Source organism: Homo sapiens, chromosome 22 (assembly GCF_000001405.40).
Source record: "Homo sapiens chromosome 22, GRCh38.p14 Primary Assembly".
Lineage (NCBI taxonomy): Eukaryota > Metazoa > Chordata > Mammalia > Primates > Hominidae > Homo > Homo sapiens.
The window spans coordinates 35,142,251-35,168,930 of record NC_000022.11 but is presented as its reverse complement, the minus strand read 5'-3'; the positions used below and the strand labels follow the sequence as shown (position 1 = coordinate 35,168,930).

Genomic DNA, 26,680 nt, shown 5'->3' with positions numbered 1-26,680 from the left:
TCTTTTCTTCTTTATTAGTCTTGCTAGCAGTCTATCAATTTTGTTGATCTTTTCAAAAAACCAGCTCCTGGATTCATTGATTTTTTGAAGGGTTTTTTGTGTGTCTATCTCCTTCAGTTCTGCTTTGATCTTAGTTATTTCTTGCCTTCTGCTAGCTTTTGACTGTGTTTGCTCTTGCTTCTCTAGTTCTTTTAATTGTGATGTTACGGTGTCAATTTTAGATCTTTCCTTCTTTCTCTTGTGGGCATTTAGTGCTATAAATTTCCCTCTATACACTGCTTTAAATGTATCCCAGAGATTCTGGTATGTTGTGTCTTTGTTCTCATTGGTTTCAAAGAACATCTTTATTTCTGCCTTCATTTCGTTATGTACCCAGTAGTCATTTAGGAGCAGGTTGTTCAGTTTCCATGAGTTGAGCAGTTTTGAGTGAGTTTCTTAATCCTGAGTTCTAGTTTGATTGCACTGTGGTCTGAGAGACAGTTTGTTATAATTTCTGTTCTTTTACATTTGCTGAGAAGTGCTTTACTTCCAACTATGTGGTCAATATTGGAATAAGTGCGATGTGGTGCTGAGAAGAATGTATGTTCTGTTAATTTGGGGTGGAGAGTTCTGTAGATGTCTATTAGGTCCGCTTGGTGCAGAGCTGAGTTCAATTCCTGGACATCCTTGTTAACTTTCTGTCTCATTGATCTGTCTAATGTTGACAGTGGGGTGTTAAAGTCTCCCATTATTATTGCGTGGGAGTCTTAAGTCTCTTTGTAGGTCTCTAAGGACTTGCTTTATGAATCTGGGTGCTCCTGTATTGGGTGCATATATATTTAGGATAGTTAGTTCTTCTTGTTAAATTGATCCCTTTACCATTATGTAATGACCTTCTTTGTCTCTTCTGATCTTTGATGGTTTAAAGTCTGTTTTATCAGAGACTAGGATTGCAACCCCTACCTTTTTTTGTTTTCCATTTGCTTGGTAGATCTTCCTCCATCCCTTTATTTTGAACCTATGTGTGTCTCTGCACTTGAAATGGGTCTCCTGAATACAGCATACTGATGGGCCTTGACACTTTATCCAATTTTCCAGTCTGTGTCTTTTAATTGGAGCATTTAGCCCATTTACATTTAAGGTTAATATTGTTATGTGTGAATTTGATCCTGTCATTATGATGTTAGTTGGTTATTTTGCTCATTAGTTGATGCAATTTCTTCCTAGCCTCGATGGTCTTTACAATTTGGCATGTTTTTGCAGTGGCTGGTACCAGTTGTTCCTTTCCATGTTTAGTGCTTCCTCCAGGAGCTCTTGTAGGCAGGCCTGGTAGTGACAAAATCTCTCAGCATTTGCTTGTCTTTAAAGGATTTTATTTCTCCTTCACTTATGAAGCTTAATTTGGCTGGATATGAAATTCTGGGTTGAAAATTATTTTCTTTAAGAATGTTGAATATTGGCCCCCACTCTCTTCTGGCTTGTAGAGTTTCTGCTGAGAGATCCACTGTTAGTCTGATGGGCTTCCCTTTGTGGGTAACCCGACCTTTCTCTCTGGCTGCCCTTAACATTTTTTCCTTCATTTCAACTTTGGTGAATCTGACAATTATGTGTCTTGGAGTTGCTCTTCTCAAGGAATATCTTTGTGGCATTCTCTGTATTTCCTGAATTTTAATGTTGGCCTGCCTTGCTAGGTTGGGGAAGTTCTCCTGGATAATATCCTGCAGAGTGTTTTCCAACTTGGTTCCATTCTCCCCGTCACTTTCAGGTGCACCAATCAGACGTAGATTTGGCCTTTTCACATAGTCCCATATTTCTTGGAGGCTTTGTTCATTTCTTTTTACTCTTTTTTCTCTAAACTTCTCTTCTCACTTCATTTCATTCATTTGATCTTCCACCGCTGATACCCTTTCTTCAGTTGATTGAATTGGCTACTGAAGCTAGTGCATTCGTCTTATAGTTCTCCTGCCATGGTTTTCAGCTCCATCAGGTCATTTAAGGAGTTCTTTACACTGGTTATTCTAGTTAGCCATTTGTCTAATCTTTTTTCAAGGTTTTTAGCTTCTTTGCGATGGGTTCGAACTTCCGCCTTTAGCTTGGAGAAGTTTGATCGTCTGAAGCCTTCTTCTCTCAACTCAACAAAGTCATTCTCCGTCCAGCTTTGTTCCATTGCTGGTGAGGAGCTGCGTTCCTTTGGAGGGGGAGAGGCGCTCTGATTTTTAGAATTTTCAGCTATTCTGCTCTGTTTTTTTCCCCATCTTTGTGGTTTTGTCTACCTTTGGTCTTTGATGATGGTGACGTACAATTGGGGTTTTGGTGTGGATGTCCTTTCTGTTCGTTAGTTTTCCTTCTAACAGTCAGGACCCTCAGCTGCAGGTCTGTTGGAGTTTCCTGGAGGTCCACTCCAGACACTGTTTGCCTGGGTATCAGCAGCGGAGGCCGCAGAACAGCGAATATTGCTGAACAGCAAGTGTTGCTGCCTGATCATTCCTCTGGAAGCTTCGTCTCAGAGGGGTACCCGGCCATGTGAGGTGTCAGTCTGCCCCTACTGGGGGGTGCCTCCTAGTTAGGCTACTCGAGGGTCAGGGACCCACTTGGGAGGCAGTCTGTCTGTTCTCAGATCTCAGACTCTGTGCTGGGAGAACGACTACTCTCTTCAAATTTGTCAGACAGGGACATTTAAGACTGCAGAGGTTTCTGCTGCCTTTTGTTCGGCTATGCCCTGCCCCCAGAGGTGAAGTCTGCAGAGGCAGGCAGGCCTCCTTGAGCTACGGTGGGCTCCACCCAGTTCGAGCTTCCCCGGCACTTTGTTTACCTACTCAAGCCTCAGCAATGGCAGGCGCCCCTCCCCAGCCTTGCTGCCGCCTTGCAGTTCGATATCAGACTGCTGTGCTAGCAATGAGTGAGGCTCTGTGGGTGTGGGACCCTCTGAGCCATGCGTGGGATATAATCTCCTGGTGTGCCGTTTGCTAGGACCATTGGAAAAGCACAGTATTAGGGTGGGAGTGACCCGATTTTCCAGGTGCCGTCTGTCACAGCTTCCCTTGGCTAGGAAAGGGAATTCCCTGACCCCTTTTGCTTCCTGGGTGAGGTGACGCCTCACCCTGCTTTGGCTCACGCTTGGTGGGCTGCACCCACTGTCCTGTACTCGCTGTCTGACAAGCCCCAGTGAGATGAACCTAGTGCCTCAGTTGGAAATGCAGAACTCACCCATCTTCTGCGTTGCTCACGCTGGGAGCTGTAGACTGGAGCTGTTCCTATTTGGCCATCTTGGAACTGCCCTCCATAAGTATACATTCTTAAAAATGAGACAATAATAAATGTATAGACTGCTTTTTAATTGCTCTATTAACTTTACATTTTTTCCATGCAAATGAGCAAAGTTCTACTGATGACAGAAACAGACTGGGTACAAAGGCTTTATTTATTGACATTTATCGATCATCTGCAAACATCAAGCTAGAAGCTGGAAGCACAAGACTCACCTGACACATGGAAATAACATAAGGTTCACAGCAAATGAGTAAAGACATATTAGGAAAATGCAAGGAAAAAGAAAACAATGGGAATCACAATATTAACCTCATGGAAAATGGCAGGAGTCCAGGCATTGGCAAAATTCATCATGATGGTCATGGGGATTACACAGCTTCCCATAAGGATACACAGACAATTCCTCAATTGTAGCTCCTTATTCTCTCCTGATTCCTCTCATCTCCTCCATGAACATTTCCATATCATCTCCACCTCTATTCATCCCATCATTGACCTGCCTATTGGGTATGGCCCATTGAAAATTAGGGGCCAATAAAAAAGAATGAGTTCATGTCCTTTGCAGGGACGTGGATGAAGCTGGACACCATCATTCTCAGCAAACTAACACGGGAACAGAAAACCAACCACTGCATGTTCTCACCCATAAGTGGGAGTGGAGCAATGAGAACACATCGACACAGGGAGGGGAACATCACATACTGGGGCCTGTCAGAGACGTGGAGGGAAAGGGGAGGGATATCATTAGGAGAAATACCTAATGCATGCGTGGCTTAAAACCTAGATGGGCCAGGCGTGGTGGCTCATGCCTGTAATCCCAGCACTTTGGGAGTCTGAGGCGGGTGGATGACGAGGTCAGGAGATCGAGACCATTCTGGCTAACACAGTGAAACCCCGTCTCTACTAAAAATACAAAAACAAAATTAGCCGGGCGTGGTGGCGAGTGCCGGTAGTCCCAGCTACTCGGGAGGCTGAGGCAGGAGAATGGCGTGAACACGGCAGGCGGAGCTTGCAGTGAGCTGAGATCGTGCCACTGTACTCCAGCCTGGGCGACAGAGCGAGACTCCATCTCAAACAAACAAAACAACAACGACAACAACAACAAAACCTAGATGACGGGTTGAAAGGTGCAGCAAACCACCATGGCACATGTATACCTATGTAACAAAGCTGCACGTTCTGCATATGTATCTCAGAACTTAAAAGAAACAAAGAAAATTAGGGGCAAGTTGGCGAGCCTGTTTCTGTTTATTCTTTCCTGTAGGCTGGAGGTCTTTCCTGTAGGAGGCGGTCTTTTCCTCCTCCCAAGGGTGGTCTTCCTCTCTATTCTGAATAGGCTTCCCTGTTTCTTTGTTTTCCTGGTGGATGTTGGCCACCATGAGACTTTTTTCTGGTTGTTTTTCTGCTCTGTTTTCCCGAGTCCTGATGACTGTTAGCATTTTGATGTATTTCCTTCCACTTTTTTTTTTTTTTTTGATATGGAGTCTCGCTCTGTCACCAGGCTTGAGTGCAGTGGCACGATCTCGGCTCACTGCAACCTCCGCCTCCTGGGTTCAAGTGATTCTCCTCCCTCAGCCTCCCGAGTAGCTGGGACTACAGGTGTCTGCCACCACAGCTGGCTAATTTTTTGTATTTTTAATGGAGACGGAGTTTCCACCAGCCAGGATGGTCTCGATTTCCAGACCTTGTGATCCGCCCTCCTCGGCCTCCCAAAGTGCTGGGATTACAGACGTGAGCCACCGCGCCCAGACTCTTCTACCTTCTTTTCTATGCCCATGCTTATATATTCCAAAAGTACACGTTTTTGCCTACGGATATTATGACATATTCAGTTTTCCCGGCTTGTATTTTCAGTCAACATCATATTAGAAGAAATTCTTCATGCCATTGAAGTGTTTTTTGAAAACATGACTTCTAACGCCTGCATGTATTTCATTATGTTAACATACCTTCACTTAGCCATTTCCTTGTTTGACAACCGGGTTGCTTCCAATATTTCTCTACTGTAATTAATCCTGTGATGACTATTCCTGTATAGGTACTGTGTTCATATCTTTAATTATTTTCTTGGGTTAAATTTCTAGGGATGAAATTATAGGGCCAAAGGATATGAACTTTTTATGACTATTGTTACATATTTCAAAGAAAATTGGACACATTTACCTGCTTATCAGCAAGTGAATCTGCTGTGGTCTGAATATTTGTGTCCTCCCAAAATTTATATGTTGAAATCATAACCCTCAAGGTGGTGGTATTAGGAGGTGGGGCCTCATGACCCCTAGGTCATGAGGGTGGGACTCTTGTAAAAAGATTGGTGCCCTTATAAAAGAAACACGAGGGAGGCCTCTTGCCTTTTCCACTGTGTGAGGACACAGTGAGAAGTCACCGTCTCTGGGGAAATGGGTCCTCAGCATTACTGAATCGTCTAGTACCTTGATCTTGGACTTCCAGCCTCTAGAACCGTAACAAATAAATTTCTGTTATTTACAAACCACCTAGTTGATGGTATTTTGCTATTGCAGCCCAAGGAAACTAAGACAATATTATCTCAGCTTTTGACATGTTCTAATGAACACTCCTTAAGAGAAAACAACTCTGTTTATGTTATGGGTAAAAATTTGTGTCTAATTGTCATTTTTAGGTACATGTCTTTGTTAATGAGGGTTTGCAGTATTTTGTTTATTAAGAGAAAAGTGACTTATTTTTTCCTTTATGAACAGTCTGTTTATGTTCTTCGCTCATTTATCTACTGGGGTTAATGTTTTTTTCTTCTTACCTATTTGTATGATATATTTGAATATAATAATATTAATCCTGGTTCTGTAATACTTGTGGCAAACCTGTTCTTTTTGTTCAAAGCTTCTTTTCAAATAGGGGCAGGGAGCTGGTGTCATTCAGGTTAACTCCCAACCCTGCCAGTTTCCTCTGGTAATGGCCCACATCCTTCTCCGTAGAGTTAGCCCCTGACCTGCAACCCCTGGCTCGCTGAATCCTTCATTTTGTCTTCAAAAGGAGTTGAATTTTAAGCATCTTTCTTGGTCCTCTGGGAGCAAAACCACTTTGCCAGCTTGAGATCATTCATTTCCCCATTTCTTTCCTCTCTTCCATTCCTCATAAATAATCCCTGGCAATTATTAAGCATTTTTGTGTTGCCTTAGACTTTTGAGTGCTTAATGATCCTTTAGTGGTTCAGCAGAGAAAGGAGAATCTTTCCTTCCTTCTCCCACCCCCTTTGAAAATTCTGGGCTGTAGGAATCTTTTTAATGGACTCACAGCTCTTGGAAGGGAAACAGATCAACAGATCCTGGACATTGTCCATCACCCGGTCCAGATCCGGTAATTTCAGTGTGGGGGAAAAAAGGCCAGAGAAGGCAGAGGAGTCATGTGGGATCTCACAGATGCTTGGTGATGAAGCCATACTTCACAAAGTGAGGACTGAGGAAATAGAGAGTTATATCCTGGAGAAGGCAGTAGACTAAGGAGATGGCACACGTGGAAACAGCCCCATAGAAACATGTTCTTAGCAGCATGGCATGTTGTGGTTACAGCTCCACCAAAGCAGAAATGGAGACAGCACTGTCCTCCCTGGACCTGGGAGAGTCAGGAGCTGGGCACAACGTGGGCACAGAATGGGACTGGAGATGGCCCAGGACGAGCGCTATGGGCAGTCAGGGACAGGGATGGCTGTAGAAACTTTATGATGCTCTTGTTTCAGAAAAGGGAAGGCCTAGGCAACTCCACTTAGTCCCCCATCCATGGAGGCTTAGGAGGCAGAATGGCCTGCTCTTTACCCCTGTGGGAGTAGAAGGTGTAGGGGAAGGAAAGGGCTCTGGGAGTCTTTGGAGCCCAGCTTCCTGACGGTGCTGAATGTTGCATCTTAACCATGCAGCTCTCTGGCAATGCAGGCAGAGGAGCAGCAACCATACTTTACCTGCCCTGGCCTCAGGGTCAGGCCTGCTTACCCACCTTTCCACCCAGCCCACCCTCGCCCCACAGGACCCCGATCCAAGGCCCTCGTGCAGGCCCCTGCACAGCAAAGAATTCTCTTTGCAGCACTTCCCCTGGAGGCTCCCCTTAACTCTCCCACTTGCAGCTCCTTATCCAAAGGTGTAAGTCTTCTTTCTAGTTCTCTCTCCTCTCCCCTTGCTACTGCCTTGGGGTGCCAGGTGAATTCTCTTCTCCCTACCTTTCTCATGGACAGGCAGTCCCAAATTTAAAAACATATTTAGGCCAGGTGTGGTGGCTCATGCCTGTAATCCTAGCACTTTGGGAGGGCAAGGTGGGCGGATCACTTGAGGTCAGGAATTTGAGACCAGCCTGGCCAACATGGTGAAACCCTATGTCTACTAAAAATATAAAAAATTAGCTGGGCGTGGTGGCACGCGCCTGTAGTCCTAGCTACTCGGGAGACTGAGGCAGGAAAATCGCTTGAACCCGGGAGGCGGAGGTTGCAGTGAGCTGAGATCGCGCCACTGCACTCCAGCCTGGGCAACAGAGCGAAACTCCGTCTCAAAAACAAAAACAAAAAATTACCCTGGTGTGGTGGCACGTGCTTGTAATCCCGGCTATTTGGGAGGGTGAGGCATGAGAATCGCTTGAACCTGGGAGGTGGAGGTTGCAGTGAACCAAGATCGTGCCACTGCACTCCAGCCTGGGTGACAGAGTCAGACACTTTCTAAAACAACAACAAAAACATATTTAATATTTTCTCATATTCTTATCTTACTATTTTCTGCTAATGTCTCTATTGCTGATGCTTCCTTCATTCATTCAGAACATATTTATAAAGCACAAAGCACTGGGTGCAGTTTTTCACACCTGTAATCCCAGCACTTTGGGAGACTGAGGCAGGCGGATCACTTGAGGTCAGGAGTTCGAGACCAGCCTGGTCAACTTGGCGAAACCCTGTCTCAACTAAAAATACAAAAAACAGCCAAGCATGGTGGCACATGCCTGTAATCCCAGCTACTCAGTAGGCTGAGGCAGGAGAATCACTTGAACCTGGGAAGCGGAGGTTGTAGTGAGCCGAGATTGCGCCATTGCACTCCAGCCTGGGCGATAGAGTGAGATTCCATCTCAAAAAAAGAAAAAGAAAAAAAGAAAGCACAAACCTTGCTGCTAGACAGGGATTAAAAAGACAAACCATGCAAGCAGAGAAGGGGGACTGCTTTGAGAAATACACAGGAAGTGAAGTCAATACTGGGATGTGGGGAAGAATGGTATTAGGACATCTGCTAACCCACCTTTGAGAAAATTAGAAACTTTGTTGCCATCTGCCAGGAAGTGGTTGTAATAAATAGAAAAATCTATGCTGTCATGAATGGCGGGCTGTCTCAGGCATGTCCTTCTCATGACAGCAAATGGAAGCGTGAGAACAAAATGAGCAGGTGCGTTCTCATGCTTCTGGACAAAGCCCCGTCACAGAGCCCAGAGTCAAGGGTGTGGGGCAGTTACCTGGCAAAGGATATGGATACTTGGAAGGAGGAAGAATTGTTCTGTTACAGAATCGGTTAGCCAGTCTGCTACAGAATATAGGTTTTTTTTTTTTGAGACAGTCTCGCCCTGTCGCCCAGGCTGGAGTGCAATGACGCAATCTCGGCTCACTCCAACCTCCACCTCCCGGGGGAAAGTGATTCTCCTGCTTCAGCCTCCCGAGTAGCTGGGACTACAGGTGTGCACCACCACGCCCAGCTAATTTTTGTATCCTTAGTAGAGACGGGGTTTCACCATATTGGCCAGGCTGCTCTCGAACTCCTGACCTCGTGACCCACCTGCCTCAGCCTCCCAAAGTGCTGGGATTACAGGTGTGAGCCACTGCGCCCAGCTGGTGTTTTTTTTTGTTTGTTTGTTTGTTTGTTTGGTTTTTACTCTGCAAGAGTAGAGTATTTTGGATTTGGGGGCTTATGGGCATCCCACATATCCTAATCTAGGGGTGAGTGGAAGGTCATAGAGCACATTCTCAGGAGGCTTTCCATTCTTACAGAGATGAGCTGGACATGACCCATTTGATAAGTTTGGAAAAGCTGCCTTCTAGTGAGCCGTAACACAGCCATGGACAGGGAGACAGTCATGTGAGCTGTAGAGAGCTGTAGAGAACATTAAAGACCGGAACTAAATATAGCTCTGAATTTATTAGTATTACCAACTACCCCAAAAGCTCCATCCCCAGGGACTGAGATACACAACATCACCTCAGAATCCTTAGCAGAGGCTTCCAGGAGGAGCTCAGATCCCTCTGGAGGGCTTCATAGAATTGTTGCTGCACAGAGTGGAGCTGAGGCTACATTAGGCACCCTCATCTCAGTGCGGCTTCATGCAGGATCTCCACCCCCACCTTGCAGGCGCCCTGGGTCCAAGCCTAGAGGGATGTTGATTTTCCCATGATGGCCCAACACCCCATCCCCAGCTAGTAAATGGCAGGGCCAAAGCTTCAACCTCTGCTCAAGCCACTGCCTGTGAAAAGTTCTGACAACTTCATACAGAGCCTGAGATATGTAAGAGCTCAGGAAATAGCAATTAATATTCTAATAATAATACTTTGTAGATAAATATGAATGAATAACTATTGAGTATCTCCTAGGCTTCACGCACCGTATGAAGCACTTTCCTTGAAGTGACTTTAGCAGCTGGGATTGTCATCCTCATAGATGGGGAAACAGACCAGAGAGGTTAAGTGACTTGTCTAAATCCTCCTCTGGAGGTAAATTTAATTTTAGGAGATGGTTTTGCTAACTTTGGGAAAAATAAACCATGCATTCAGTTTGCTCATGAGACTTTTAGCAATGGCATATTTAGAGGTGAGAGATAATTGGAAATTCTATGGAAAAAAATGGAAAAAGTACTTGGAATAAAATAAAATACCCTTGCCTCAAGTTTTTTACCTGTTGTTTTTTTTTTCCTCGAATGTTATTTCTTTGACAAGGAGTTAGAGCTTTGGGGCCTGCCGCTGACAGGAAGGCTGGTGGAGCCAGACGGAATGTGCAAAGTGTCCTATCTGTCCCTTTAATAACTCTTTGGCCCGGGTGACCTGTCACTATAAGCAAGGGGAAGGGAGAAAAATGAGCCAATTCATTTCTAAATGGCTCTGTAACTCCAGGGTGTTATCGAGCAGAGACAAAGGACACTCCATAATTCTTGGAAAGGGAATCAGGATCTCCGGGAAGCAGGCACAGGCTCCATCTGGTCTGCCGAAGCCTCCTGCCAACCAGGGATCCACGCTCCATAAATACACAGAGAGATAGATCTCCTGGCCCCATTGATTTCCCCTTGCCATTATTGATTGCATTCTTAGATAAGTGGGGACTTTTCGACCAGAACTAAACTCTCTGTATCTTTCTTGGAAGCCTTTGCAATGCCAAGGGTTTGGCTGAGGGAGGAAGTGCTGTCTGCCGTCTTCTCAGAATGCTACCCACCAGCTATGTCCTGGGTAAGAGAAAATAAAGGGCTCTCCCTGGGCCCCTCAGTTTTCCAGAACATGTCAAGTTGGGAGCTCTCCCAAGGGGAGAAGAAAATGGCTTCAACTGACAGAGCCTCTATAGGTGTTCTGTGTGGATGACATCAACTTTGTTTATAATCCCTTCAATTATGAATGCAGAAGGGTAAGTTTGCCCTTGGCAGAATTTCTCAAACTTTAAAATGCAAAGAGGTCCCTTGGCCATCTTGTGTGAAAGCAGCCTCTGATTCAGTAAGTCTGGGGTGGGTCCTGAACTGTGCCTTGCTGACAGGCTCCTGGGTGTGTGGGTGCTGATGCTGCTGGATCTGGGTCCCCACTCAGGTCAACTCTGTACTCTCTCAGGCTGTGCACGTGAGCCTTTGCTATCCTTCAGAGCTGCCTTTAAGTATTAATTCATTCATCAAGCATTTATTAGCTTCTACTGTGTGCCAGGCCCTGTGCTGGGCTCTGGATAGAAGATGAAGGGAACAGAGTGCTCACCTTCAAATTACTTACAGCTGGGTTGGAGACACTACTTTTCCAACAAGCACTGCTAATGCAATGTGATTGCAATGTGATTACGTCCTGAGCAAGGATGGAAGGCCCTGCTGCAGGACCCTTCTCAGGTGAGGGGCAATTAATTCTGCTGGGAGGCCTCAGGGAGGGGGATATTGAAGCTGGGTATTGAAGCATGAGGAGGAGCCTTTCAGATGAGAAAGTGGAGGCAGAGGATATGAGTATGAATGGCTGGAAGTTTGAAAGTTTGGCATTGCCAGGAAAACATGGATGCTAGTTGCAAATGCCCCCAACTAAGAGATGGCTGGCTGGATGTGGAGTGCTGATCTGGCTATCACCACCAGACTCGGAGTCCTTGAGGTCAAGAGCCTCATCTGGCTTATCTCTACTCCCCCAGCTCTGGCAAACGGTGCCCAGAAAATAATTAAACCAAAATGAAGTTGATTTGTTCATTTCTGGCAGAGGTGCTCATTCTTGAGTGTACATCAGAATGCCCTGAAGTGCTTGTTAAAAAGACTTATGGGCCCCACCCTCAGTGCTTCTGACCCCGTAGATCTGGGCTGGGGCCTGGTATTTGCACTTCTAACAAGTTTCCAGGCAATGCTGCTGTTGCAGAACCAGGAACCACCCTTTGTGGACCACCAATCAACATCCAACGTCATTGTTTTCAAGTAATTCCTCCTGAGGGAGGGGAGTGGGTGGTTCACAGAAGGCAATGTGGATTAATGTAGAAAGCATGGCCTTTAAAGCTGCATACACTAGGTTCAATAAAGTTCTGCCATCTGTGTAACCTTGTTTGGATCAGACATTCCATAATACCTACCTTAGGACTCTTTAGTCAAGTTTCAGGTGAGAGAAACCCAGCTCAATAAATAAAAAAGAAATGACTGGGCTGTATAACTCAGAAGTTTGGGTGTCTGGAGTCTGGTGTGCCTGGATCCAGGAAGTCAAATCATGCCCTCGGAACTCCGTCTCTTTCCACCCTTTGGCTAATCTTTCTTCTGTATTGATCCCATTCTCAGGCAGGCACTCTTCCTGTAGCAGCTAGGATGACCAGGTAGCTCCACAATGATATGTTTTGCATAGTTACTGATCCCAGAGAAAAGAGAAAAGAATATCTCCGTTTTCTAGTGTTTTTAGCAAAAGCCCCAGAGATTCCTTTGATTGGCCTGGGCTGGGTCATGTGCCCACTCCTGAACCAATCACTGAACCTGGGGTACGGAGAGCTCTGATTGGCCAAAACTTGGTCACACGGCTATTCCTTGAAAAGTAAGAGAGAGAGAGAGAGAGTGTGTGTGTGTGTGTGTGTGTGTGTGTGTGTGTGTGTGTGTGTGTGTAGGGTATTGTTCAGGCTGGCATGGATGGATGGGATTTTCCTGAAAAGCCGCTCTGTTGCCAGTGTGTGTGTGTGTGTGTGTGTGTGTGTGTGTGTGTGTGTGTGTAGGGTATTGTTCAGGCTGGCATGGATGGATGGGATTTTCCTGAAAAGCCGCTCTGTTGCCAGAAAAATGGGACAAGGAAAGGATGTATGCTGGGCACTTTAAAACTACCTCGCTTTCAAAGTATTCCAAAATCTAGAATCGTCATGTCACCATTTTAGAATTCCTCTCAGTCGGCATGGCTTAATGAGGTTTTTAAAGGACTGATAAGGACTTAAGAGCACCTCACGTTATATACTTAGGAGGACCAGGTAGTGTTTTACATATTTTACACATCAATTCACGTAGTCTTTCTAAGAGCCTTATAAAGTAGGGACTCTTCTTCTTTTTAACAGATCAGGAAACTGAGGCACAGAGAGGTTAAGTAACTTGGCCAAGGTCACAGAGCTAGCGAGTGGTAGAGACCAGCTGCAAACCCAGGCAGTCCAGCTGTCTGTGTGCCTAACCACTATGTCCGCAGCCTGCCTCTTGAGAATTTTGAAATCTTATTACTGGAAAATGCCTTGGAGATGATGTCAGCCAGCACCCCAACCCCTCCTCCCTGTTTATTTATTTATTTATTAACAATTGAGGACCAGAGAGGAGGATTCATTTACTTGAGGTCATGCAACCCAGTAATGGCACAACCAGGATGAGAATTTTTGTCTTTGAATGCTGACCCCAGAGTTGTTCTGCCCCACCATCCCTCTACTGCCTCCTACTGGGTTTTCTGGAAATAGTCGCTGTTCTTAAGCGTGTGCAGGAATCAACTTTCACGGTTCTCCACGACCACCAACCACCTGGAGCACCTTGTCCTTTGCATCCTGAGTACCTGGCCCTGTGTCTAGTAGCTTGTGCAGATACTGTTCCTATATGCAATTTTTTGGTAATACTGAAAGCTTTTCCTCATGTTTTACCCATTCTGACTCTATTTCTTTGGGTTAGATCAAGGGGAAGCTGGGCACACTGGAACCACTGACCACACAAAAGCAGCGTAGATGAGCCCTTGTAAATTGGCAACTGGTCAGCACAGCTCAGAAATTCCATTTTCCTCACCCCTCAAAGTGGGGTCTGAGGATATACAGTAGCAGGATTTGCTGGGAGCTCCTTGGAAATGCAGAATCTCAGGCCCCATCCCCATCGGCTTTTTAACAAGACCGCCAGGTGATTTGTTTGCCCGATAAGAAGTCTCATTGTCAACCTGACTCTTCGCCAGTCCTGGAGAGAGAGGAGAAAGTAGCCACTAGGTGGGGGTATTGCCTGGGCCGAGGACCAAATGGCTGGAGCAGTGGGATGCCTGCGAAGAAGAGGCGCGAGGAGCCAGGAGCGGCTCAGCCAGCCAGGCTTTGAGTTGCAAATGGCACAAATGTTTTGGATTTCAAATAGCATCCCCTCTGTCCGCACCCATGTATTCCCTTACTCCCAGTGGCTCTGGAATGTTTAAAAAAAATTCAAAGTAATCTTAAGGATAAAGATGTCCCCAACAGAGAAGATTCAAAGAAGGTGCCTCAGGCCCTGTAGACATCCTCAAAGCCAGGTTAACTTACCTTGTTGTTGAGGAGACAGAGGGTCCAGGTGGGAGGTGACTGACTTGGAATCCTCTCTGAGGATCTTTGACTACAAAGCCTGTGTCCATTCTGCCTCTGCACCTTGGCTCCAGAAATGTCCTGAGCATGGAGCACCTTGTTAGATTCAGTGTCTAGTTTGTACTGCGGACTTCTTTAAAAAGTGTAGGCACAAAGATCTGAGGCTGTAAAAGTTCTCTCCTTTTGTCCAGAAAAACTTGCTACTGGGCAGTGCAGGTCTAGACATCACACTGTCTCCCAAAGCTTTTTTTATTTTTTAGCTGTCTCTCAGATCAGGGACTGATATTCTTCCAGTCTCTGGCTCTGCCACTCACTGGCTGCATTTCTTGGGACAGGTCACTCAATCTCTCTGAGCCCTTGAGACGGGGATGATAGTGTCTGTCTCTCCGGTTTATTATAAGCATCAAAATCAAATGTCATATAAAGCAAAAGCACCTTCTAAGCTGCAGAGTACTGTAAAAAATGAGGGGCGACTGGGGATTTGGCCATTACGAGGAGATAAAGGGTAATTTTTTGCAGCAGGGTAGATAGCTGTTGACACCAACATCGTCTCAGCTGCAGAGGTCTCCTCTCTGTTTTCCCAGCTCCAGCTTCTGTCCCACTCTCGACACTGTAGCCAGAGTAATTTTTTTTTTTTTTTTTTGAGGTGGAGTCTCATTCTGTTGCCAGGCTGGAGTGCAGTGGTGGGATCTTGGCTCACTGCAACCTCTGCCTCCCGGGTTCAAGCGATTCTCCTGCCTCAGCCTCCTGAGTAGCTGGGACTACAGGCACGTGTCACCATGCCCAGCTAATTTTTGTATTTTTAGTAGAGACGGGGTTTCACCATGTTGGCCAGGATGGTCTCGATCTCTTGACCTCGTGATTTGCCCGCTTCGGCCTCCCAAAGTGCTGAGATCACAGGTGTAAGCCACCGCGCCCGGCCCAGAGTGATATTTTAAAGTAAAAAATCAGTGTATGACTCCACCCACCCCTTAAAACTCTCCAGCAGTTTCCCTTTTCCCTTAAAATTAAACCCAATTCCTTATCTGAGCTGCAAGGCTCTTCTGCTGCCTGCTCCTATGCAGGGGGTCCTGCTTACCCCTCACTCATCCCACCCCCTCTTACTCTCTGTCCCTCATTCCCACCTTAGGATCATTGCATTTGCTGCCCCTGAGCTTGCTTTAGGAGCGCTGGCTCTTTCTTTTCATTCAGACCTCCATTTACCTGTCACCTCCCAAATGAGCCTGTCTTGGGCCATGTGGTCTGAAGTGGCCATCTAGCCAGCCCCTCTCGACACAACACCTTATTGAAATCCTCTGCATAGCACTTCTCATTGTCCAATATTCCACTTGTTTATTAGTCTAGTCTCCACGACTAGAGTGTAATCAGCATTTGAGGGGGGATTTTGTCTGCCTTGCCCACCTTGTCTCCCTAAGGCCTAGAACGAGCAATGCCTGGCACATAGCAGTAGGCACTCCATGAATTTCTGTTGAGTGAATGAATGGCTGAATGAACACATCTACCACCCTGACTGCTGGGAATACTCCAAACCCAGTGGAACACCTAGACCCTTTGCACAGATAGGATACCTGTAGCCACTGTGCTACATGTGCTGCCATCTTGGCCCTTTGCCTTCTGCCTTGAGAGATTGGAGGAATTAGGAGGGGAACACGTGCTTTGTTATGTGAAAACATGCATTTCCTCCGAAGTCCCTTAATTCCTGAGAGTTGGGAGAATAATTAAATCCCATTTAATGATTCAGTGTTATCTCACACTTTGGGTTCTGTTGTAATTATTAAGTAGGATCAAAAATAAAACGTCCAAATATCATAATTAACTTTCAGATCAGAACAGATGTCAGCTTGGGGAGTACTCACACCTCTGGGGCAAGTCTCTTTTTCTTCTTCCTGCAGCTGCCTGCCTGTCCCTCACCTGTGTCTCCCCTCCCTTCATCAACTAGACGTGCATCCTAATGTGGTAGGAGTTATTAAGAAATTATTTTAGGCAGATAGGAAAAGGGGTCCTTGGAAAGTTTTCCTCTCTTAAAGCAGCTCCAGAAACATTTCTTGTCTAGCAGGAAAGCCCCAGCTCTTAGAGCCCACCGGCAACCTTTGATATGCAAATGCAGGCCATTAGAAAGTGGGTCCACCCAACATGGCGATTCCCACTGTTGTCCTCTTGCCCTTGCCCCTACATGTGCCTGGCAACATGGCCGCCCCCATATATCCCCATGTGTGTAGAACATCATGGCGTTCTGCATTTGCATATTAAAAGGGCAGGGTGGGAGGGCCAGTTTTTTCGTGGGCTACATGAATGACACGCCTGGTCAAACCACTCCCCTGAGGCCTATGCAAATCAGACACCATCTTCTCCAGCCTCTTCATATACCCGGCTGATTTCTGCTGCACTTGGGGTCTCCTTTCTCGGCTTTGGAGCCCCCCCATCTCTGTACAGGGGAGCTGCTTCCTTCTGGCTCCTCCTTTCTTTCTTGCCTATCAAACTCTCTGCTCCTTGAAACCACTCCATGTGTAGGCCGGGCGTGGTGGCTCACACCTGTAATCCCAGCACTTTGGGAGGCTGAGGCAGGCGGATCACGAGGTCAGGAGATCGAGACCACCCTGGTTAACATGGTGAAACTCCGTCTCTACTGAAAATAGAAAAAGATTAGCCAGGCGTGGTGGTGGGCGCACCTATAGTCCCAGCTACTCGGGAGGCTGAGGCGGGAGAATGGCATGAACCCAGGAGGCGGAGCTTGCAGCGAGCTGAGATCATGCCACTGCACTCCAGCCTGGGCAACACAGCGAGACTCCATCTCAGAAAAGAAAAAAAAAAGAAAAACCACTCCGTGTGTGTCCATGTCATTTTATCTAATTTGACTCGAGACGAAGAGCCCTGGTGTTCCTCCACTCATCAGAGCCGTGTCACTAATCCTATTTCTCTGCTCATGTGGTCAACATATATTCACTGAGCATTGCTTAGTGATAGACTTTTATGGAGAACAAGAGGGAGAGAGAGAACTCCTCCTCATCCTTCAAAGCTTAGCACAAACTTCACCTCTATTTACTGGCTTCCTGGGTTCTTTTTTTCCCCACTCTGTGGGAGTTGGGTTCTGCCTTATTCCGTATGGGGTTTGCACCCAGTGCTCAGTGGAAGACAGGCTGGACACGTGCATGTCAGTCCCCCCAACCCCACCCATGCCGACTGCACCTTGAGGATCATGCCTGCCTTGTGTCATCATAACCCAGTGCCTACAGCAGAGCCTGGTACTTACTAGGTGCTCAGTAAATATTTACTGGTGAATAAAAGTTCTTATTCATTTCTCTGTCTCTAAGAATGAGTCCATCGTTGGGCTCAGTAAATATCTGGAGAATAAATGAGCAAAGGAGGTATCTTCAGATATGGAGAGAAAGAGGGAGTGAGGCAGGGGAGAGGGAGGGGAGAAGCGGGCCAGGAGGCCAGGAAGGGAAAGGACTAGGGGTCGATGAATCAGCTGGGGCGGCCAAAACAGAGTACCGCACACTAGGCGGCTTAAAGAATAGAAATTCACTTCTCACAGTTCTGGAAGATCATCAGGGCAGCTTTCTTCTGAGACCTCTCTTGGCTGTAGAAGGCTGTCTTCTCCCCGGGTCCCCATGTGGTCTCCCTCCTGTGCGTGTCTGTGTTCTAATCTCCTCTTCTAATAAGGATACCAGGCACGTTGGTTAGTGCGCACTGTCATTACCTCACTCTACCTTAACTACCCCTTTGAAGGCGCTATCTTCAAATACAGTCGCATTCCGAGGTACTGGGATTTAGGGCTTCAACATACGAACTTTCACGGGGACAAAATTTAGCTGCAACTGGGCCCAAGGCCCCTTCTGTTACTATGATGGGGGCGGAAACTGAACCAAAAGACTCTAAGAGAGGAAGGGATAGTGACTTTTAGGCTGCATGGCTGGGGACAGTGATGGTGGCGTCTTCCTCCTCCTTTGGTTTCTCCGCTGCTTCCTCCCACATCTTTGACACTGGACAGTCACGCTGAGCTCGTTTCTGGTCTTGCCACCAGGGGGAGCCAGAGCTCATATTTCTGGCCCCACTGCAGGAAGCCAGACCTGCTGGGGCAAGCCAGGGGCTTCCCACCCGGTCACTGGCACAAATCCAGGACCCCAGTTCAGAGGCAGCAGAGTGGTACAAGCAGCCCTGTCCTGAATGTCTAGAGTCCTGGGTTGGAGGGGACTCCGTGGGTGCAGCGGGTGTCCTGAGGCTTGTCACTTGTCAGCATTTATAAGAGAGTGAAAGATACAGGACTGGGGAAAGGGAAAAGATGAGCCGCGATGCAATTAATGATGTAATAAACAGAAGCTCAGTTCTACCAAGGGAAGAGACTTTGCTTATGGGAAGCCACGACAGCTGGTCAATACATGCCACTGTTCCTTCTCGCCTGTTACGTAAGTTACCACCTTCCCACCATCGAATCAGAGGGCAGGGGACAGATGACATAACCTCCTGCAGTCCCTTCCAGCCCTAGTCCTTGGTGCTGTGAAATTGTGCAGTGTGGAGTTTCTAGTTGCTATAGAGTTGGGACAGACTTTAACTGTCGAAACTTGGGAGAAAGTTGTCCCACATTGTGTTCCTAAATAGACCAGTCACTGGATACAGATATCCCCTTGGGGAAGGGGGCAGGCATGACCTAAGACAAAGCCACTCCCTTCAACCCAGTGCAATTCCAGGAAAGGGGTCATGAGCCATCCCCAATCCTGGCAGCTGGGGGAAAGAAGAGAGAACCCCAATCCTAAAGGAGAGAGCTGGGTAGCACACAAGAGTGTCCACTACATACATTCACCACCTTTGATAGAAAAAGATGATTTGAAGGACTTGGCAAGAAGCCACAGTAAGGAGAATATTATGGCTGTTTTGATCATAGGATGAATATCTATAAGATTTAATAAGATACCAGAGTTGGGATGAGCCTTAGAGTTCATATAGTCCAGAGAGGTCTAGTGGCATGTATATGGCCACCGTCCCAGTCTTGGCCATAGCAGACATCCCCAGTGGAGCACAGCCATTCTCTGAAGAGTCCCGTGTAGCCTCCAAACCCTTCTCAGCATGACCTTCAGGCAGCCAGTCAAACAACACTGACCTGCAGAAGAAAACTTACTCCCTCATTTTCCAGAGGAGGCCCTGCTTAGAGGAGTTGCTTATTCCCCAGCACACAGTCAGTTCTGGAATGAGACCGAACTGGGATGGGACCCCCGGTGTTCTTTGTGACAGTGCCTGTCTCACTGGATACGTGAGTAAGCAGCAGAGACTCAGCTCCATCCTCTTTTTGAACATCTGCCTCACCACACAAGGCCATAGCAGTAGGCCTACTGGATCTGCTGAAGTCCTCGCATGCCCTGCTCTGACGGCCCTGCACAAGGAGCGGGTGGTTTGTACCTGTGCCAATTTCTATCATCCTTTCAGTGGGTTAGCAAGAGCTTAGAGTAATCTGTGGCCGAGGCGCCAGGAGGCCCTTCATTAAGCATTATGAGATAATCCTGATTGTATCAAGGAATCTTTCCCTAACTTGGGAGAAAAGAAATTGACATGCACAAAAAAGGCAGGGGAAACATCCAAAGCTGTCATCGTCTGTCATGCTGCTATTTTTATTCCTCTATGACAGCTGGAGATTATGGCCAGATGTGGTAGCTTGGCAGCCCCCTTGCAGAATGCCAGCTGGAAGGGGGTTAGGGAGCAGGGGGCAGAGCCCCTCTGTTCCACAAATGGGGGGGTGCCCAGAGCTGACAAGTGACAAGCCCCAGGACACCCACTGCACCCACCGAGTCCCCTCCAACCCAGGACTCTAGACATTCAGGACAGGGCTGCTTGTACCACTCTGCTGCTTCTGAACTGGGGTCCTGGGTTTGTGCCAGCGACTGGGTGGGAAGCCCCTGGCTTGCCCCAGCAGGTCTGGCTTCCTGCAGTGGGGCCAGTGCTATCAGCTCTGCCTGCATTCACATCTCCATCTCAGGGTCAGTTTCTAGTGAGCCCAATCCAAGAAGCAAGCTGATTCCTGCATGTCAATGACCTGGGTCACCTGGGTTTCCAGGCTTCCTGTTCACAGACCTTTGAGAGAAGCTGATCAACTGCCTGCACAGCCAGCCAAGGGAAGAGACCTTGCTTAGGAGAAGCCACGACAGCTGGTCAGCAGATGCTGCAGCTCCTTTTCAGCAAAGTTACCTAAGTTAAAACCTTCCCACCATCTAATCAGAGGGCAGGAGACAGATAAAGTATCCTCCTGCAGTCCCTTCCAATCCCAGTCCTTGGCGCTGTGCAATTGTTCAGTGTGGGCTTGTGTGCTGCAGTGTAGACTGGAGACCCAGGTTCTGATTGCTGCTCTGTTACTAACTTGTATGACCAGCGGCAAGTCACTCCGTCTGTCTGAGAAAACGGAAAACTGAAGGGACCAGTTGGATATTTGGCTTGAAAACTCACCTGCAGCCCCTCCACAATTGCTTCCCCGCAGTTCCCCATCACTTGTTCTTACTTAATCTTACTTCACTGCCCAATATGTAGAGGAGATTGCGGGGGAGCTGCTCTGCTCCATGAGGGATGGCTGGCCTGGAGTCTGACCTACTTGTCCTACGTAATCCTGCCTGAAGATGCCCCCAAAAGCCCTCTGAGGAGCAGGGTTTAAAGATTATTGACCAGGCTGGGTGCGGTGGCTCACGCCTGTAATCCTAGCATTTTGGGAGGCCAAGGCGGGTGGATCATCTGAGATCAGGAGTTCGAGACCAGCCTGGCCAACATGGTAAAACCTGACTCTACTAAAAATACAAAAATAACCCAGGCAATTCTCCAGGCTCAGGCAGGAGAATCGCTTGAACCCATGGGGCACGGTGGGGAGGCTGCAGTGAGCCGAGTTTGTGCCACTTCACTCCAGCCTGGGTGAAAGAGCGAAACTCTGTCTCAAAAACAAACAAACAAACAAAAGATTATTGACCAGAGGGTCTTCAAGTCCCTCCAGTATATACTCCTGTATTAGCTTCCTATGCCACTCAAAACTTGGTGGATTAAAACAACAGAAATTTATTTTCTCATAGCTTTGGAGGCCAGAGTCTGAAATCAAGGTGCCGGCAGGGTTGTGCTCCCTCCGGAGGCTCTGGGGAGACAGCATTCTGTGCCTCTCTCCTAGTTTCTGGTGGCTGCTGGCGACTTTGATGCTTCTGGGCTAAGTGGCCGCAACATTTCAATCTCTGCCTCCATCTTCATATTGTCTTCTCTTCTGTGTGTCTGTCTGAAATCTTTAGATTTGGGGCCCACCAGGATAATCCAGGATAATCTCCTCTTCTCAAGATCCTCTACTTAATAACATTTGCACAACCCCTATTTTCAAATAAGGTGCATCTACAAGTTCCAGGGATTTGGTATCTTCTGGGGGCCATTTTCCAGCCTGCCACACCTAATAGGGGTGGAGTGAGTCATTCCTGGGAGGCCAAGCTGCTGGCGGGAGACATAGCCTATTGTTAGGGCTTCCTAGGCCAATCCAGCATGAGAGCTGGGGGCAGTCTGGGTGGAGGTCAGCTGTGTGGTCAGAGTGGGTCTTGTCTTCCTTCCCTGCCTTCATCCCTCTCCCTGCTTCTCCTGCACCCTCTGAAGAAGAGCTATGTTGTGCATCCCTCAATTTTCCTAAAATGGGATTCCAAAGACAAAATGGTCCAGAGACAGTTCTGGTTGGGGGGGCCCAGTCTGGGTCACCATTCGCCTGCCAGTCACGGTCACTTGCAAGTTTGTCCCCAAAGCTCAGCTCCCTTTTTGACACGCGTTATGAATTCAGCTCATTTCTGGATCATGGCCCTTCTGGGGAATAATAGAACATAAAGAAACCTCTTTCTAAAGTTTCAACACTTTTCATAAATCAATAGTCTAGTCAAAAGTCAATGTTCTTTTTTGGCATTAACTTTTATATCAGTCAGAGTTTGGTTAGAAAAACAGGAACCTCTCTGCGTTCCAGGCATGAAGGTTATAGGGGCTTATGGGACTGCGGGAAACGGGGGCTGACAGAATGGCTGGAAGATCCGGGGTGTCAGAGGTTAGAGGAGCTGCTGCCAAAATCCAGGGACATTGACACGGCCAGGAACCTGGGCCTGAAGTATTGAAGCTGGTGGTTCTCACAAGCCTGCAGGAAGTTGCTGCAACGCTTGAGGATCTCTAGAAGCTCCTTCCAAGTGCTTTGGTTGGAAGCAGCAAAACCAGCAGTTCCCAAGCAGCTACTCTTTGAGAATGATGGCTTCTCCTTCACTTCCGCCTTTCAAATCTTGTGCCAGTTCCCCTCAGTGACAGACTCAAACCCAGAACCACATGGGCAAAGAGATGCTGGAAAATGTGATTTGTAGGTTCCTAACTGGGGAGAGAGTGGGGGATGCTGAGTTGGAAACACACAATTCAGTGTGGTTTTCAAATGATTTTGCGTTTTCCAAAACCTGCCTCTCCCTTTTCTTTCTTTGAAAAGAGGACCTCAGTAGCCAGGGGATGGGTAAGGAGCCCCACAATGTTTTTAGGACAAGGATCTATTCATACTTAAGTGACGTGGAAGAAAGGGCATTTGTTGTGACTTAAGGGGTGCTCAGAGGTGGGGGCTGTTGGTAGGGCAGGGGCAGCAGCCTGGTGTAGGGGAAAAAGCATGAGCTCCACACCAGCTTGGGCTGAATCCTGGCTCAGCCCCTTGACTGTGCCCACTTCAATTTCCCTTCTTCAAAAGCTGGCACATAATAACCTGCCTCACAAGTTGTTGTATTTAATGAAATAATGGCATGTCCATTCCAGGATGTTTAATGCAGCATTATTCACACAAGTTAAAATTTGGAAATAACCTAAATGTCTATCAAAAGGGGAATGGCTAAATAAAGGATAGAAATCAATGCTATGGAGCAGTATACAGTAGGTAAAAAGACTGAGGCAAACCTATAGTACTAACCTGGAAAGATTTCTAAGACATCTAAGTGAGTGAAGAAACATATTTGCACAATACTAATGACAGAAAAGCAACCTGAATGGCTGATGCTTACATAGCCCTTTTATTGCTATGTGTACATGCATACGTGTGTGTGTGTGTGTGCATGCCAGGCAATGCCCCTGATTGTGTGGGTCTCACAACAACCCCAGGAGTAGGGTGCTATTATTATCCCCACTTTCTAGGAGAGGATACTGAGACACACAGAGGTCAAGTAGCCTGCTGAAGCTTCGGCTGCCACTTACATAAAACATGTCCAGGGTGGGCGCAGTGGCTCATGCCTGTAATCCCAGCACTTTGGGAGGCCAAGGCAGGCAGATCACCTGAGGTCAGGAGTTCGAGAGCAGCCTGGCCAACATGGTGAAACCCCATCTCTACAAAAATTAGCCGGGTTTGGTGGTGTGTGCCTATAATCCCAGCTACTCGGGAGGCTGAGGCGGGAGAATTGCTTGAACCCGGGAGGCGGAGGTTGCAGTGAGCTGAGATCATGACACTACACTCCAGCCTGGGCGACAGAGCAAGACTGCATCTCAAAAAAAAAAAAAAAAAAAAAAAAGGAAAAACATGTTTGCATTATGGTCTGCATGCAAAATTGGTACAATTGATACTATTTATGTTATGAACCCCAGAAAAATTTAACATATATGTTTGAAAGTAAATGCATGAGAAAAGACAGGATGATGTTGGCTAAATGGTCACAGTGGTTCCTGGAGGAGAGTTCAGGGGAGGTTACAGTGATCTAAGTGACTTATGGACTTACCCATAATGTTTTACCTTTTTTATTAGAAGGCTGTTGTATTATTGGTGTAATTTAATGCCACCTTAAACACATTTAAAGTGTGAGATGAAGGGTGTAGGAATGTGGCACCCAGCAGGAGCTTGAGGTCAGTGTGTTCTTCCTCCTCCGTCTTCCCTTCTGCCAGGTGGGTGCCTGGGAAGGGCAGGTGGAGCTGAGATGGGTGTGAGGGTCTTCATGGCTCACACCACTCATCTGCCTGTTTGAGCATCATGCCAACTGGATGTCATTTTCCTCAGGAAGTTCCAAGAAGGCAAAAGGCCTCCTAAAGCCCATTGAACTAGTACAGCGGGCCAAGCCCTGAACAAACTGCCATTAGAGAAGGCGTGCGTGTACCCAGGTTCCTCCAATTTTCCTGGTGACCTCTCACAGCTGAGCTATTTAACCTCCTCAGGCCTGATGGCTCCACCTGCAAACTGGTGAGAAAATCATCCCCGCCTCCTTGGAAGGGGAGATCACCTCTCAGAGGAGCTGGCACTGTCCAGGAGTAACCCAAAGTGTCCTGGCACTTTTGCCAGGCACTGTCCAGGAGTAACCACCAGGTGAGTGCAGGCGGAAGAGTCTGCTGGGCTGAGAAGGTCGCATCACCTAGGGTCAGGGCAGGAGGCATCTGGGGAGGACAGCAGACATGAATCTGGGGATCCACAGAGATCCCACAGTAGCCCACATCTGTTCTGTGACTGTTTCTCCTGGTAACACCCCCCCACCCCCTCCACAGCGGGGGCATGAGATCTAGCCTGGACCTGTCTGAATCCTTCTTCCTCAGACAGTTGTGTTAGGGGACCTGGAGCATCCTGGGCCCACATGCTCTTCACACAGAGAAAGCTCATCTGCAGTGGGAGAAGATGAAGGTGATGGCGGAGACACAAAGATGTGTTTCAGCTCCTGAGTTGGCCTCTCTTGAGGGGATGTCCCTTCACCCCTGCCTTCATCGTCATGATTCTGTTAGAAGAGCCATAAATCCCCTCACCTTTGTTTCTGCTTAGTTCCCTTCACCGTCAGCCATTATTAGGTAATTAGATCAAACCCACCTCCTCCTTTTACATAGGAGAAACTGAGGCCCAGAGAAGGGGGCTGACCGGCCCATGACTCATATCCAGGATGGACAGACCTGGGGCTAGACCCCAAGGGCATCTGCTCCTTGATTTAACCAGGCTAGCTGACTCTGTGTGTGTCCATGGAAAAGAGGAGCCCTTTCCTGGGGGATGCAGGAATGGCTACTTGTCCATGTCCCAGCAGGGCGCACCACTCTGGAAGAAGCGACCAGCGCATTGTAGCTGGGGAGTTATCAGACTGAGAAATGTTCTTAATTTTCTTGTTTCTCTTCCACCGATCGCCTCTGTGATCTCTCTGTGTCATCTGCTTGTCTTCCTTACAGCCCACAGCCCCACGTTTGGACCTCCTGTTTGGCTCTTGTCATCGTCCACCTTGGATTAGACTCATGCAGGAACATGGTTTGCCCTCTCCCTCACTGCTGAGCACCTCTCCCTCATATTTCTCATATCCACCCCATCCTGCTATTGCCTTAACATTGCCAAGTCTCACCTTGACTAATCCGACAGCTTCCATATTACATAGAGTAACACTCATTAGCTGTGGTAACAATCATCAAGTTCAGTGGTTTAACAAAGTAAAAGTTAATTTCTTGCTCGTGTAACAAGTTGGTGAGGGTTGGGCAGCTCTCTTAGGCTTCCCTCCTCCAAGTGGTGACTCAGGGATCCAAGCCCCTTTCACCCATCACTAAACCATCTTGGAGTCCTTCTCTTCCAATTGTGTGCATGAGGCGAAGGCACGCCAGGTACCTTACCACCTTGCCTTGGAGATGACTTACATACTTCCCACTCCATTGCATTGCCCTGAATCAATCACATGGCCAGCCAGCTACAAGGAAGACTGGAAAATATAGGGGGATTCCCGCATAAAATACAGAGGAGTGCTAACAAATTCTACCATGTCTTTCTAACAGGAGTTCAGTCTCGCACAAACGTTTTAGATAGGATAGTCAGGGCTGGAGTTTTGGTACTGCAATTGACTAATTTAAATGTCTTCCTCCTGTGGTAGGCCCTGTAGTGAAATAATAGCCAGATGGGAAATGTATAGAAATTTCAATGGCTAGGCAAATACCTGACAAATGAGCCCCCAACTTCCATCCTAAATGTAGGACTTTTCTGGTGAGCCATGTGGGAGGACAGGTTCAGGTCCCATTTCTTTCCTCTGCAGCTAAGTGAGCAGTCTTCCATCCTGTCACCCAATCAGCCATGTGTAGAAGGCCCTAGAGTCTGCTTTGGTGGTGGGGATGTTGAGAGATGGGAACTCTTCTAGAAAGCATGAGAAGGAGGAGATCCTCTTTTGCATGGGTCCAGGTAATGACAGAAGGCTGGTTCTTGGGACCTGCATTTAAGGCACAGTTGCTCTGTCTGGTAGTGACTTAGGCCTGGGAAAGGGGAGTCCTGTGTTTTAAAAGGTCTTATTTGCTCTCCTCCAGCTATGTCCCTTCTCTCAGGGAACATGGACAGCTGGAGCTGTGCCCTCTTCCCTTCTAGATCATGCTCTGGGTACTCAGAACCCTGGAATTTTCTGGCCAAAGGGCCTCAAGGCAACTTCTAGTACCTGGAGCCCTCTTTCCTTTCCTTATTCTTTACAAGGTGGACCCCACTGTTGGTGGGTACACTCCCAGCCCAGAGAGTACCAAGGGGAAGTTGGTTGGGGGCATATGGAGCTTGGATGTGCAGC

General features: G+C 47.4%; 1 long non-coding RNA gene across 1 annotated transcript in view, besides 6 other annotated features; it reads left to right on the top strand.

Annotated features, from left to right (window-relative positions):
- The window catches only part of LINC01399 (long intergenic non-protein coding RNA 1399), a 111,233-nt gene that overhangs the window by 62,126 nt on the left and 22,427 nt on the right, over window positions 1-26,680 (top strand). The window lies entirely within an intron of this gene.
- Window positions 9,868-10,699: an enhancer, noted in NCBI's record as "H3K27ac hESC enhancer chr22:35554225-35555056 (GRCh37/hg19 assembly coordinates)". NCBI's record gives its function as "activates a minimal SCP1, AML or CMV promoter by ChIP-STARR-seq in primed H9 embryonic stem cells {active_cell/tissue: H9 hESC(primed)}" and the evidence as "EXISTENCE:reporter gene assay evidence [ECO:0000049][PMID:30033119]".
- Window positions 13,589-13,788: an enhancer, noted in NCBI's record as "active region_18895". NCBI's record gives its function as "activates an Ori minimal core promoter by ATAC-STARR-seq in GM12878 lymphoblastoid cells {active_cell/tissue: GM12878}" and the evidence as "EXISTENCE:reporter gene assay evidence [ECO:0000049][PMID:35858748]".
- Window positions 13,761-14,055: a silencer, noted in NCBI's record as "tiled region #1139; HepG2 Repressive DNase unmatched - State 12:CtcfO, and K562 Repressive DNase unmatched - State 12:CtcfO". NCBI's record gives its function as "represses a minimal TATA promoter and a strong SV40 promoter by Sharpr-MPRA in HepG2 and K562 cells {active_cell/tissue: HepG2 | K562}" and the evidence as "EXISTENCE:reporter gene assay evidence [ECO:0000049][PMID:27701403]".
- Window positions 13,761-14,297: a biological region, named in NCBI's record as "Sharpr-MPRA regulatory region 1139".
- Window positions 13,774-14,297: an enhancer, noted in NCBI's record as "NANOG hESC enhancer chr22:35550627-35551150 (GRCh37/hg19 assembly coordinates)". NCBI's record gives its function as "activates a minimal SCP1, AML or CMV promoter by ChIP-STARR-seq in naive H9 embryonic stem cells {active_cell/tissue: H9 hESC(naive)}" and the evidence as "EXISTENCE:reporter gene assay evidence [ECO:0000049][PMID:30033119]".
- Window positions 20,188-20,237: an enhancer, noted in NCBI's record as "active region_18894". NCBI's record gives its function as "activates an Ori minimal core promoter by ATAC-STARR-seq in GM12878 lymphoblastoid cells {active_cell/tissue: GM12878}" and the evidence as "EXISTENCE:reporter gene assay evidence [ECO:0000049][PMID:35858748]".